Below are 11,161 nucleotides of genomic sequence, written 5' to 3'. Positions count from 1 at the left end.
GGCTGGGATAGGCCGTGCTGAGGGATGGGACGGAGTCCAGGAAAGCTTTATTGTCTCCTTGGGGTATCCCATCAATCATTGTGCTGAGGCTTCGTGGGGAGCCCCTGGAGACACGCAGGGTGTTGAGGGGCCGTGCACCCCTAGACAGAGCCCGGAAGGTCAGTGGATTGGGACTGTCGCTACCATACAGGGCACCTGCACTAAGAGCCCAGGGGGTCCTCCTTGTCACCCAGACGGTACTGGGCCTCAGGAGAGCCAGGCAGGGCTTACTTGTCGTGGAGTGGGGGACCCAGGCGGTGGTGAAGGTGAATGGCGTTGTGGCTGGAGTTCCAGGACATGCCACAGCCTTCCTGATGATGGTGCCGTTGCTTCCGCAGATGGCGATCAAGCAGGCGCCAAGCCCATCGGTGGTGTTGTAGATGACGTCCTGGTAGCTGTAGGTCCTGTCCTCATAGGTGCAGGTGCAGGCTGGGGATGGAGCCGGCAGAGTCACCCAGGGCCTCCGAGCCCCTGGCCCCAGCCTTCACCGGCCCACTAACCCCCCGGCCCTTCCTTACCCTCAAGGCTGTGAGCGCACTGGATGCCACTGGGTGTGCAGTTACTAGGGGTGGGGGAGAGGCGAGCTGAGGGCCTGGGGGGCAGCCTGCAGGGCCTGCTCCCCAGCCCTGCTCCCCCAGCGCCACCCGCTTCCCACCCCCTCACCAGCTCTGGCAGTTCTCCGCTGTGGGGACCCTTGCACCGACGTCATAGTAGTTTCCGTCCTTGTCGTAGCAGCCACACTGGGCCACGCACTTCATCTGGTCCTCATTGAAGAAGGGCTGGCTGGGTGGGCACTTCGGGTAGCAGCCTAGGGCCGGCAGGGTGAGCAGAAGACTCACCAGGGCCCTTTAGTCTCTCCAGCCAGGGGCTCCATGCTGCAGGGAGTAGCCGCCCCCCACCAGCCAGCAGGGGCCTGCCCTCAAGGCTTGCATTGTGCAGTTTACGGGAGCCTACACCGCGTCCCTGGGGATCCCCGCCCCCCCACGTACACTCGGGAACCCAAGGAGAGGAGGCTCCATCCAAGAAAGGCTGCCCCTCACCTTCCAGGCCAGGCAGGTCCACCAGGCAGTGCCCACTGGGGTTCCGGCAGGTTTTTAGGCAGGGTGCCCCGCAGGGCTGGTAGTGCCACTCACAGCCCCCATGTGGGTTGTAGAAGTCACAGAACAAGGCTGGGGCACAGAGGGCAGAGGCTAAGGAGGCGCCCACCAGCCCTCACCCCTGTTGTGCAGGGCAGCCCCTACCCCGGGCGTGGGGGCCGGTGTCCCCAGAGCCAGACCCGGGCTTGTCCCAGACATGCAGGGCCTCGGCCGGGTGGTGCCTCACCTTCCCCTCCACTCCCCAGCCCTGCCCTTGGAACTCTTGTCCCCTAGGAGCTGTCTCATGCTGGGGCAACCTGTCTGGTGGTTTTGCACAGGTCTTCCTCTGTGCATAGAAACTTGTGCACTCACATGGAGGCACATGCGTGTTGGATGTCTGTGTGCGGCTCAGGCCCAGGTCAATGCACCTTCGGAGGCTGCCACACCTCCTCCCCTGCCCCAGCAGCTCCACCCTTCAGCACCACGGACAGAGCCCGACTCACGGCAGGTGTCCGGAGTCCGCCAGGACACACACAGGCCCGCGTCGTGGCAGGCCTGGGCGTAGGCAGCCACAGCCGTGCAGAAACACTCGCAGTCGCCACCCGAGTCGCAGGCACACGCGTCGTTCACGCAGGCCTCGTAGTACTTGGTGGAGTCAACCTGCGGGTGAGGCCAAGGTGCAGCTCAGCCGGGACAATGGCCCCCCCGGCCAGGGGGTGGCTGGCCCAGGGCCAGTTGCTGGAACCATCTGTATTTCAACACCCCCCATGGCAGCTCTCTGAGCTCCTGGGGCCTGGAATACCTCAGAGCGTGCCCCAAATGGGAGCTGCCCCAGCACTTCTCCAGCCCACCTGTGCCCTCGTCCACCTATATCCCTGCCCACCTGCCCATCTGCCCACCTGTCCATCTGCCCACCTATGCACCTGCCCACCTATGCACCTGCCCATCTGCCTGCCTTCACATGTGCTCTTTGGATCTTTCTATCACGTGGATCTGGTCATGTGGCCCACAGGTTTCAAACCCATGTGGAGCATAGCACCCCTGCTTACCCTCTGCCCTCGCCCCCACCTCCCTCCGCTGCAGTCGTACTGGCCTCCTTTCCACCTGGGGGCCTTCCCTCCAGCGGAACCAACCCCCGGCCAGGGCCCTCCACATCCTAGCATCCGACCACCCAGCACCCACCGCCTTTCTGCCTCCTCTGGAAGCTCTGTGAGGGTCAGCCTCGTCCCCTGATCACTGGGGTGAGCCCAGAACATGCCAGGCTATTCCAGGCACCCAGTGAATGTGCACTAAGGAAGGAGTGGTCACTTCCTTTCCAGACCAGCCACGCGGGGAGCTGAGCTGTGAATGCGTCCTGACCATGGGAAGCTGCCTGCTTCCTCCAGGCAGCCCACACCCCTCCCAGGCCCCATCTGAACCTGGGCTCAGCTTTGTCAGGCCACAGGACCTTCCAAGGGGTCACCAGCTGCCTTCTCAAGAGGGCAAGCGGCGGCCGACATGAGAGTGCTTCAGGGCCTCCCACGAGCGAGTATGCCCACTGCTGCCCCTACGCCAGCCCCTCATCTCAGCTCCTGAGCCACCATGCTGTGTGCCTAAGTGGGCACTCAAGTCTTCCTTAAGATGACACGAAACTGCTTTTTGGTTTTTTGTTGTTTTGTTTTGAGACAGAGTCTCACTCTTTTTGCTTAGGCTGGAGTGCAGTGGCACGATCTTGGCTCACTGCAACCTCCTCTTCCCAGGTTCAAGTGATTCTCCTGCCTCAGCCTCCCGAGTAGCTGGGATTACAGGCACACACCACCACACCCGGCTATTTTTGTATTTTTTGTAGAGACGGGGTTTCGCCATGTTGACCAGGCTGGTCTCAAACTCCTGACCTCAGGTGATCCACCTGCCTCAGCGTCCCAAAGTGCTGGGATTACAGACATGAGCCACCGCGCCCAGTCAGGAAACTGCTTTTTGGAAGTCTCTGCTTAGGGCAGATCTCTGATTCCTCCCTGGCTGAGCGGGGAGCCAGGCTGGCATTCCAGTTTGTGCTGAGGACTGGGCAGGTCTGGGGATCATAGAGGAGGGTGGCTAGGGGCCACATAGAGGGCTGCCCCTCCCTGTGAGCCTCTGGGTGTGACTGAGGCTGTGGTCAAAGGAGTGGCCGGGAAACAGCCAAGATGGCTTCGTGCCAGGGGCAAGAGGCACAGGTGTGGGGCTGACGGGAGATCCGGACTTGGGACCTGACATCCAGGACTGTGTGCCGTGGGACATGGTCAGACCCTCCTTGGAGCGCTGCTGTCTGCCCAGAAGACCCAGTTCTCGGCGGGAAGGAAGCAACTGCCATCCCCACCAGACCCTGCCTGCCAAGACCAGAGCCCCACCTGGGAGCGGCAGGCGGCGAAGGTGGGGCCGTGGAGGATGCTGCACTGCTTCTGGGCCCAGGACTTGCGGAAGGGGTTGGCCGTGCAGGGGTCCTTGGGTGCCAGGGCGTCCGGGCAGGAGGGGGAGAGCTTCCAGCTGTTCCCAAACTCCAGTGCGTCCCCCACCACGGACCGGCTACGCGTGGCAAAGTCATTGATGGCATTGTCGTCGAAGTTCCCGCACAGGCCGCAGACCCTGCCCTGCAGAGGCAGCGAGAGAGTGGGGCCCTGGAGCTGGGGCCACAGGCACCCGTGGGAGGCAGCACAGAGCCCACCCTGGGCTCCAGAGCCCTCGGGGGATGGAGGGAGGGCAGCCGGTTCCCCAGGCAGTGCCTGGTGAACTTGTAGGAGACAGGTGTGCAGTGGGTCCCTGGGTGGGCCGCTGGGTGGCACCTGCTTCCCTGCAAAATCCTCTGCCCACTGTGGAGGCCACAGGCAGGGCCCTCACCAGCCAGGCTCACGCACCCACGGGTCAGCGAGTCCCACAGACCCCACCTGGCACCAGGGTTTCTGTCACTGTGAGAGGGTCCTGCAGGGCCTAGGAGTGCACGGCCCGAGCTCACCTTGTAGTCCTGGTGCAGTCGGATGAACACGCTGGTCTTCCGGTCCCAGGACACGGCCATCCCGTGGGTCTCGATGACCAGGAAGATCCCCATGTAGCGTATCTTGTAGGGTGGGTCCCCACCCGGCCCTCTCGCCACCGCCTTAAAGGTCCCCTCTTGGAGGATCAGCTCGTAGCTCTGCAGGGGAGGCAGACGCTGCCGGAAGCCGACCCTGTGGCCCCCAGGGAGGGGCCTGAGACCCAGGGATGCCCCACCCAGTGCTCTGCAGGTGCGCACGGGCTCTTAGCACAAGCGGCTGGCGTTAGGGGTGAGCTGGGTCCGTGAGACCCTCAGCGAAGGTTTGGCAAGAGGCTGGCCAGGAAGTGCTGGGAACAGGGGCTGCCTGGGAACCTTGGGGCTGCACGGGAGCAGCAGAGGCTGCAGTAGGCCCACTCCACCCCACCCTGCTCCCCATCCAGCCCTGCAGCCCCCACGCCCTCACACCAGCCTCCCCTGACCCGCTGCGGTCCTCAGCCCCTCCCGCCATCTGCAGGGAGCATCCCGGCCAGCGGCGCTGCTTTATCCCCTGGGAGCTCTGGCCCCCCTTTGCTGGAGTGGGTGTCTCTAGGTGTGGCAGGGTGAATCGTGGCTCCTGAAAATGCCTGTCCACATGCGAACTCCCAGAACCTCAGCCCGGGCCCTCACTGGGAGAAAGCATCTCTGCAGACGGGATTAAGTGAAGCATCTTGAAATGAGATCATCCTGGACTACGTGGGGGCGGGGGGGGGCCCTAAATCCAATGACCAGTGTCCTTACAAGAGACAGAAGAGAAAAACAGAGAGAAGACAGACGCAGACACAGCGGGAGGCCACAGGCAGCCACAGCCCAGGGACGCCTGCCGCCTGTGAAGCTGGGAGAGGCAGGAAGGACCTCCCCAGACCCTCGACAGGGAGTGTGGCCCTGCCCGCCTGGATCTCTGACTTCCGGCTCCAGGACTGAGAATGCATTTCTGTTGTCTAAGCCCCCTGGTTTGTGGCTGCTTGGAACAGCAGCCCGGGGCCAGGACACTGCTGAGAACCTGTGGGTGCAGCTAAAGCCTCACGAAGCTTCCCTGGGGGCCGGCTCGTTGGCTGCAGGGTCGGGGGTGCTCACAGCTGGGGCCGTTCTCACCTCCACGAAGAGCTTGATGGCCTTGGAGCAGGTGGTGCCGGTGGTCCCACAGGGGATGTTCTCGGTGACGATGCGGAAGGTCCCGTGGGTGGTGTTGTCCCCACAGTAGTCCTGGGCCAGAAAGAGACAAGCTGCTGGCCGCGGGCTGGAGTGTGCCCGGCCTGCAGGAGTGGGCGAGGGGGCGGCGTACCTGGGCCAAGATGTACTCGCAGCTGCCTTCAAAGCTGTAGCGATCGCCATCAAAGGTGATGAAGTGGCCATCCCCGTAGGCCACGCAGGTGCCCAGGCAGAGCCGGTGGCTGCACTCCCACCTCCGGTTCCTGCAGGTGCTGCAAGGGGCCACAATGGTGCCTGCTCACAGGGGCCTGCTCTCCCGGCCTTCCTGAGACCCGGCACCCAGGCCTGTGCAGGTCAGCACGGGGCCTCAGCCTCCCCAGGCCCAGCCTGACCCCTCCTCCGTGGAAGAAGTGGTGTCCCCCACTGTGAATGCAGGGCACGCAGCCCCACCAGGCTCCTGGTAGCACCACGGCCCCTGGGCCACCTTCCAGAGGACGCACAGGACGGCCCATGGCTTTCCTAGCAACTCTCTCTCCTGCCACGGCCCCACCTCACCCTGGCCAGCTGGCCCCCTGCCCTCCCCGCCCCCTGCCCTCCCTGCCCGCTGCCTCCCCACCCGCTGCCCTCCCCGCCCCCGCCCTCCCCACCTGCTGCCTCCGAGAGACTCACGACCCACCAGGTGTTGCAGTCGACCCTGATGGTCTCTCCAGGCTTGTAGGTGGCCTCGTTGTGCACACAGGGGCAGTCCTCCTCGGCAATGCAGCCCCCACTCCCATCCGACACCAGCCCCGGGGGACAGACACAGCCGGACACGCAGTGTGTGCTGAACTGTGGGGCCCAGGCAGGTACCGGTCAGGGCTGGACACCAGGGTGGGCAGATGTCACTCACCCTCTGGGACAGGCGCACCCAGCAGCACCCAGGGCAACGCATGGGCCAGGGCGGAGCTTCCAGGTGGGTAAGTGTCTCCAGGACCACCAGATCCCTGGGCTCGGGAGCTGGGAAAGCTGGGACCCCTTCCCTGCCCACCCCTCCCTGAAGCATGGAACTCACACAGCCCACGTCCAGCGTGTGGCAGCTCCGGAGGCACTCGGCCCCAGGGGTGCCCGCCGAGCTGTTGCTGCAGTCCAGGTACACCATGGGGGCTGCACACCCTGGGGACAGAGCTTGGTGGGAGGGGTCCTGGGGAAGGGCAGCCACGGCCCTCAACTGACCCCAGGCAGCCCTGAGCCTGTCCTGCTGATCAAGTTAACAGCCCCCGAGCCAAAGCTTCCATGACACCTGCAGCCCCCAACCCCAGGACACCCCGGCCACACTGCGGGGCAGAGACCCACTGGCCCCTCCGTCCCTGGCGTGTCAGGGCATGGGTGCCTGTGGCAGAGCCCAGGTGAGGACTGACCTGGCCCGGCAGGGTTCAGGTGGGGTGGGGCAGGGTGGGGCGTGTTGGGGCCAGGCCAGGCGGGGTGATGCGGGGCGGGGCAGGGCAGGGCAGGGCAGGGGTGGCACTTACCTGTGCTTTTCTGCAGAGAGGCTCCCAGGCAGCTTAGCTTCCCACCCGTACATGAACTACAAGAGACAGACGGCACAGCCTGGATCTGCGGCCCTCACCCCGCAGACCCCACCCCCGGGCTTCCGAGCCCCCGCCGAACGCTGGGCCTCCCCAGCCTGGCCACCTCCTTGTAAGGCCAGACGGTGCCTGCTGCTGTGTTTGCTGGGAGCCCCCAAATCCCCTGGAGGCACATGGGTAAATACACACAGGGGGGCAGCAAAGCAGCCAGGACCCTGGGGTTAGGAGCGGCCTTTGAGCCCAGGGTGGGAGTGGGGGCCACCCACCTTTCCTGGCAGGGGCTGCCATGTGGACCCAGCTGAGAACAGCCAGCAGGTGTCCTCCCAGGGCCACCTCCTCTCCTGGCCTCTTTCCCAGCTGGGAATTTTCTCTTCAGAATGTGCTGGGTCCACCCTGCCCCACTCTCCCCAGCCTGGCCCCTCATGTCTCAGAACCCTCGGGGGGAGGCACAGAAGCCTTCGGGGAGGGCGGGAAGTGGCTCTGAGGAGCACCTGGGGGGCCTGCTTTCCCCCCAGACCCTTACCACACGGCGCCCTCGTCGTGCACCACCTCTCCAGGAGCCAGCACGGTGCCGTGAGCGTAGCAGGGGCACTCCTGGGCGGGCACACAGGCGCCCGCGTCATTGAGGAAGGTGCCCGCGGGGCAGGTGCAGCCGTCCACAGGCACGAAGGAAACGCTGCAGGTGACGTCGGCCTCACTCAGGCCGCGGCAAGTGGGCTGGCAGGCATCCACCACGTAGGCGTAGCGCTGGGACTTGGGGCAGTTCTGCATGTACTTGGCTGTGGTCGGTGGGGCCAGGGGGGACAGGTCAGCGGCCGAGCAGCCTGGCCAGCCCCCATCTTCAACTCAGCATCCCCGTCTGTGACGTGGGGATCGCAAGGGCATGAGGTTCTTGCGAGGCTGGGATGAGGAAGTGCAAAGCTCTGGGCTGAGAACCGTGTGAGTGACGGCTGCTGCCGGCCAGGGTCCCCCGCACCCCCACGCGGTGTGGACACATCCCACCCCCAGCGTGGGCACTCACTGCAGACGCCGTCCCTCCAGTCGCTGAGCTGTACGCCCTTGGCGGCACAGGCGTGCACATAGGAGGACAGCGCGGCGCACAGGCAGTCCTCGCTCCGCTCACAGTTGCAGGTGTCAAACATGCAGTTCTGCGGAGGTGGGAGGCATCGGGGCGTCAGGGACCCCAGCCTGCCAGGGCTCCCCCACCCATCCTGCCCAGGCGTGGGGGTCTGGCCTCAGCCTCTCACCGAGTGGAAGGGCTTGGGGTTGATGATGGAGTGGCAGCGCGAGAAGGCACTGTTGGGATCGGTCAGGCGCGAGCACCAGTGCCGGGCGTAGTTCTCTGTGGGGAAGACCTGACCTCATCTCCACGCCCTGCCCCGAAGCCCACACCCCTGACACGCAGGCCTGCGACCCCCTCAGCCCGGGGAACAGTGAGTTGGAATTTGCGGCTCACCTGCTGCGCCTTGGGGGGTTCTGGCCGCCTGGCCCCAAGCACCTCCTCCTGATGCCTCCCACCTGCCTCCATGGGGTCCCCAATCCCACCCAGGGGTCCCCGTGGCCCAGGGGACAGGAAGGTGCTGGGTGGGACTTGAGCCTGGGGTGACTGTGGGGGTGGGGGCGAGGAGTACCATTCTCCACACTGAGGGAGCAGGGGTCCTCAAAGCTGTTCCTGGCATTGGCACAGGCAGCCTGGGCCTTCCAGGTGTTGGCGAAGGCTGCGCCCGTGGCCTCCACCACCCCGCTGAGGGCCGTGAAGTCGTCAGCCTGGTTCTGGTTGAAGTTCCCACACAGGCCTGGGGGCCAGGGTTGGGGGATGTCAGCGGCCACTGTTGGGCCCACCTGGCTCCTGGCCCCTGCCATCCCTCCAGGCACCACACAGGGTGGAACGGCTGGGAGCCCTGTCCCAGGATTCTGCTCCCAGAACCCTCTGCAGATAAGCCCTGGCGGGGGGCGCCCCTGTGCAGTCGGCCCCTGTGCAAAGCCAGCCCCTGTGCAAAGTCGGCCTGAGCCAGGGCAGGGCTGCCCGCTCCATCCTCCCAGCTGGCTGCTTCCGGGGCCGCTGGTCCAATGCTGGTGTCCTGCGCTGGCACCAGGATCTCCGCCATGCCCTGGGGGCAGCCCCCTCCCCGGTCCCCTGCCCGCCTCTGCCTGCCCCTCCCTGCAGCCTGGCGCTAGTCCAGGCCCCGTCCCCAATGGCCCTGTCCCCGAAGGCCCCTGCCCAGCCTCACCGCACATCTGGCCCTGGTGGGCGGGGTCCAGCCTGACAAACACCTGCATGAGTGGCACCAGCTGCACCAGCAGCTGCAGCCCCAGGCCTGTCTGCACCACGATGAAGAAGCTCGAGGGTGTGAACAGGGTGATGTTGGCTGCCGGGAGTGTGGGGGAGAGGCCGGTCAGGGGTGCAGGGACAGATCTGGCTAGATTGGAGGGGCAGGGCATCCAGTGGGCCGGGCCACCCCACTGAGACCCGGGAGTGAGACCCAGGAGTGGCCAGGAGCCCTCAGGCTCCCTGTCCCATGCCTGTGGCCGCCAAGTGGGCTCAGGTGGAGACCGGGCTCCCTGAGAGAGTGGGGCTGAGCGAGCTGGATGTGGGGTCCCTGCCGCTGCCGGGGTGGGAGCCTGGCATCCCCACTCTGCAGACGAGAAACCGAGCACAGGGAGCTCCTGGAGCTGCCCGAGGCCACGGAGAACTAGCAGGGATGGAGCGGACGCTGCCCAGGCTGTGGGAGCTGCCCCTGCAAGCAGGCGCCACCCAGCCCGGCCGTCCTGGGAGAGCCACATACCTGCCGACAGGGGCAGCTGCGTGTAGATGGAGTTGAGGAACACGCCGCCGTCCGCTTGGACCCGGATGGCCTGCGGAAGGAGGCGGGCGGGAGGTCAGCTCTGGGGAGGAACCCATTCCCGACTCTCAAATGAGGGGGTGGCCTGCCCAGGGGCCCCCACTGGGGACAGAGCCCACAGAGAAGCTCAGACCTGGACCTGCGGTGGGCTCTGCAATTGCCCCCCCGGGAGGACCTGACCTCAGGGCTGGAGGGGGGACCTGACCTGGGGGCTGGAGGGGGACCTGGCCTGGGGGCTGGAGGGGGGACCTGGCCTCGGGGCTGGAGGGGGACCTGACCGTGCTTGCTCCCCACACACCTTCGCATGCCTCTTCCTGTCCCAGCCCAGGGCCCCAGCCAGGTCCTCACCGTGTCCCCGCCGTCCAGGCTGAGCGTCACCGCTTTCAGGCAGTTCTCGTTGTCCGTCAGGCCGCACTTCCGCAGCTCAGCCAGCACGGTGAAGCTGCTGTCGGCACATTTCTGGGGAGAAGGACCCACGCGTGCATTGGGCCTGGCTCGATGATGTGGGGTGCCCCCCAGAAGTGTGCTGGGGATGCCCATGTGGGGGATGTGGCTCTGTGGGGAGGTGGTCCTTGGCACCTCTGGTCACCTCCCAGCAGCTTGTCTCAGGGCCTGGGGGCTCCTTGGCCCCATGCCGCTCAGCAGGGAGAGCCATCCCTCTATGACCATCATGGGGACCCAGGGCTCCCCCCTCAGCAGGGACATCCACCCCTCTATGACCATCGTGGGGGCCTCCCCTGGGTGGAAGTGGCATGAGGGTCCCAGGAGGGTCTGGGTGTCTGAAGACCCGGCCCCAAGCCCAGACCTTGGACAGAACGTAGCTGCAGTCACCATGCAGGTCGTAGAGTTTCTCATCATAGGTGGAGATGTGGGCCCCGCCCTGCACAGAGCAGGTGCCAGGGCACGGCAGGTCCTGGCACTGCCATAGCCCCCCGGAGCAGGTGCTGGGGAGGGAGGCCGTGAGCAGAACCGGCATGTCGGGAGGAGGTGGGCCCCACCCTCCACACCCCCACCGCAGGCGGAGGCTGGTGGGTGCACACCAGGAGCTCCACACCCCCACCCCAGGCAGAGGCTGGCGGGTTCATAAATACCAGGAGCTCCACACCCCACCCCAGGCGGAGGCTGGTGGGCTCATAAGTACCAGGAGCTGCAGGTGGTGTTGAAGGAGGTGCCCGGGCTGTAGGTGCGGCCGCCGTGGGTGCAGGGGCACTGCCCGAGGGGCAGGCAGCCAGAGTGCGTGATGTCATCCAGCACCGTGCCTGTGGGGCGCGGCGTGAGGCAGGGCCGGCCCATGCACGGGGGACACCAAGGTCAGAAGACACCGGCCTTGGGGACAAGCTGCCTCCCTTGGGGAGGAATTCCTGCTCCAGGACACCGCCCCCGCCCTGAGCTGCACTCGCTTGGATGAACACCAAGCACCTCTGGGCCTCAGTTTCCCCACCATGCCCAGCTGGCTCATGGCAC

At 65.6% G+C, this 11,161-nt stretch overlaps 1 protein-coding gene across 1 annotated transcript in view, besides 2 other annotated features; it reads right to left on the bottom strand.

The window, feature by feature from the left end:
- MUC5B (mucin 5B, oligomeric mucus/gel-forming) overlaps positions 1-11,161 on the bottom strand; it is a 39,107-nt gene that overhangs the window by 21,527 nt on the left and 6,419 nt on the right. The window contains exons 10-30 of the mRNA NM_002458.3: positions 10,839-10,956; positions 10,503-10,641; positions 10,046-10,156; positions 9,641-9,710; positions 9,086-9,223; positions 8,486-8,650; positions 8,102-8,196; positions 7,876-8,002; positions 7,378-7,633; positions 6,798-6,853; positions 6,341-6,441; positions 5,966-6,117; positions 5,423-5,561; positions 5,233-5,343; positions 4,084-4,260; positions 3,482-3,721; positions 1,619-1,775; positions 1,080-1,208; positions 703-847; positions 558-601; positions 271-468 (exon numbers count right to left, since the gene is read on the bottom strand). Of these exons, the coding sequence (NP_002449.2) occupies positions 271-468; positions 558-601; positions 703-847; positions 1,080-1,208; positions 1,619-1,775; positions 3,482-3,721; positions 4,084-4,260; positions 5,233-5,343; positions 5,423-5,561; positions 5,966-6,117; positions 6,341-6,441; positions 6,798-6,853; positions 7,378-7,633; positions 7,876-8,002; positions 8,102-8,196; positions 8,486-8,650; positions 9,086-9,223; positions 9,641-9,710; positions 10,046-10,156; positions 10,503-10,641; positions 10,839-10,956 (2,868 nt within the window). The remainder of the gene's footprint in view (positions 1-270; positions 469-557; positions 602-702; positions 848-1,079; positions 1,209-1,618; positions 1,776-3,481; positions 3,722-4,083; positions 4,261-5,232; positions 5,344-5,422; positions 5,562-5,965; positions 6,118-6,340; positions 6,442-6,797; positions 6,854-7,377; positions 7,634-7,875; positions 8,003-8,101; positions 8,197-8,485; positions 8,651-9,085; positions 9,224-9,640; positions 9,711-10,045; positions 10,157-10,502; positions 10,642-10,838; positions 10,957-11,161) is intronic.
- Positions 1,214-1,713: an enhancer, noted in NCBI's record as "H3K4me1 hESC enhancer chr11:1260163-1260662 (GRCh37/hg19 assembly coordinates)". NCBI's record gives its function as "activates a minimal SCP1, AML or CMV promoter by ChIP-STARR-seq in primed H9 embryonic stem cells {active_cell/tissue: H9 hESC(primed)}" and the evidence as "EXISTENCE:reporter gene assay evidence [ECO:0000049][PMID:30033119]".
- Positions 1,714-2,215: an enhancer, noted in NCBI's record as "H3K4me1 hESC enhancer chr11:1259661-1260162 (GRCh37/hg19 assembly coordinates)". NCBI's record gives its function as "activates a minimal SCP1, AML or CMV promoter by ChIP-STARR-seq in primed H9 embryonic stem cells {active_cell/tissue: H9 hESC(primed)}" and the evidence as "EXISTENCE:reporter gene assay evidence [ECO:0000049][PMID:30033119]".

The sequence above is a fragment of the Homo sapiens genome, chromosome 11 (genome assembly GCF_000001405.40).
Source record: "Homo sapiens chromosome 11, GRCh38.p14 Primary Assembly".
NCBI lineage: Eukaryota > Metazoa > Chordata > Mammalia > Primates > Hominidae > Homo > Homo sapiens.
Note: the sequence above shows the minus strand (reverse complement) of the source record. Positions and strands in the feature narration are given on the sequence as shown.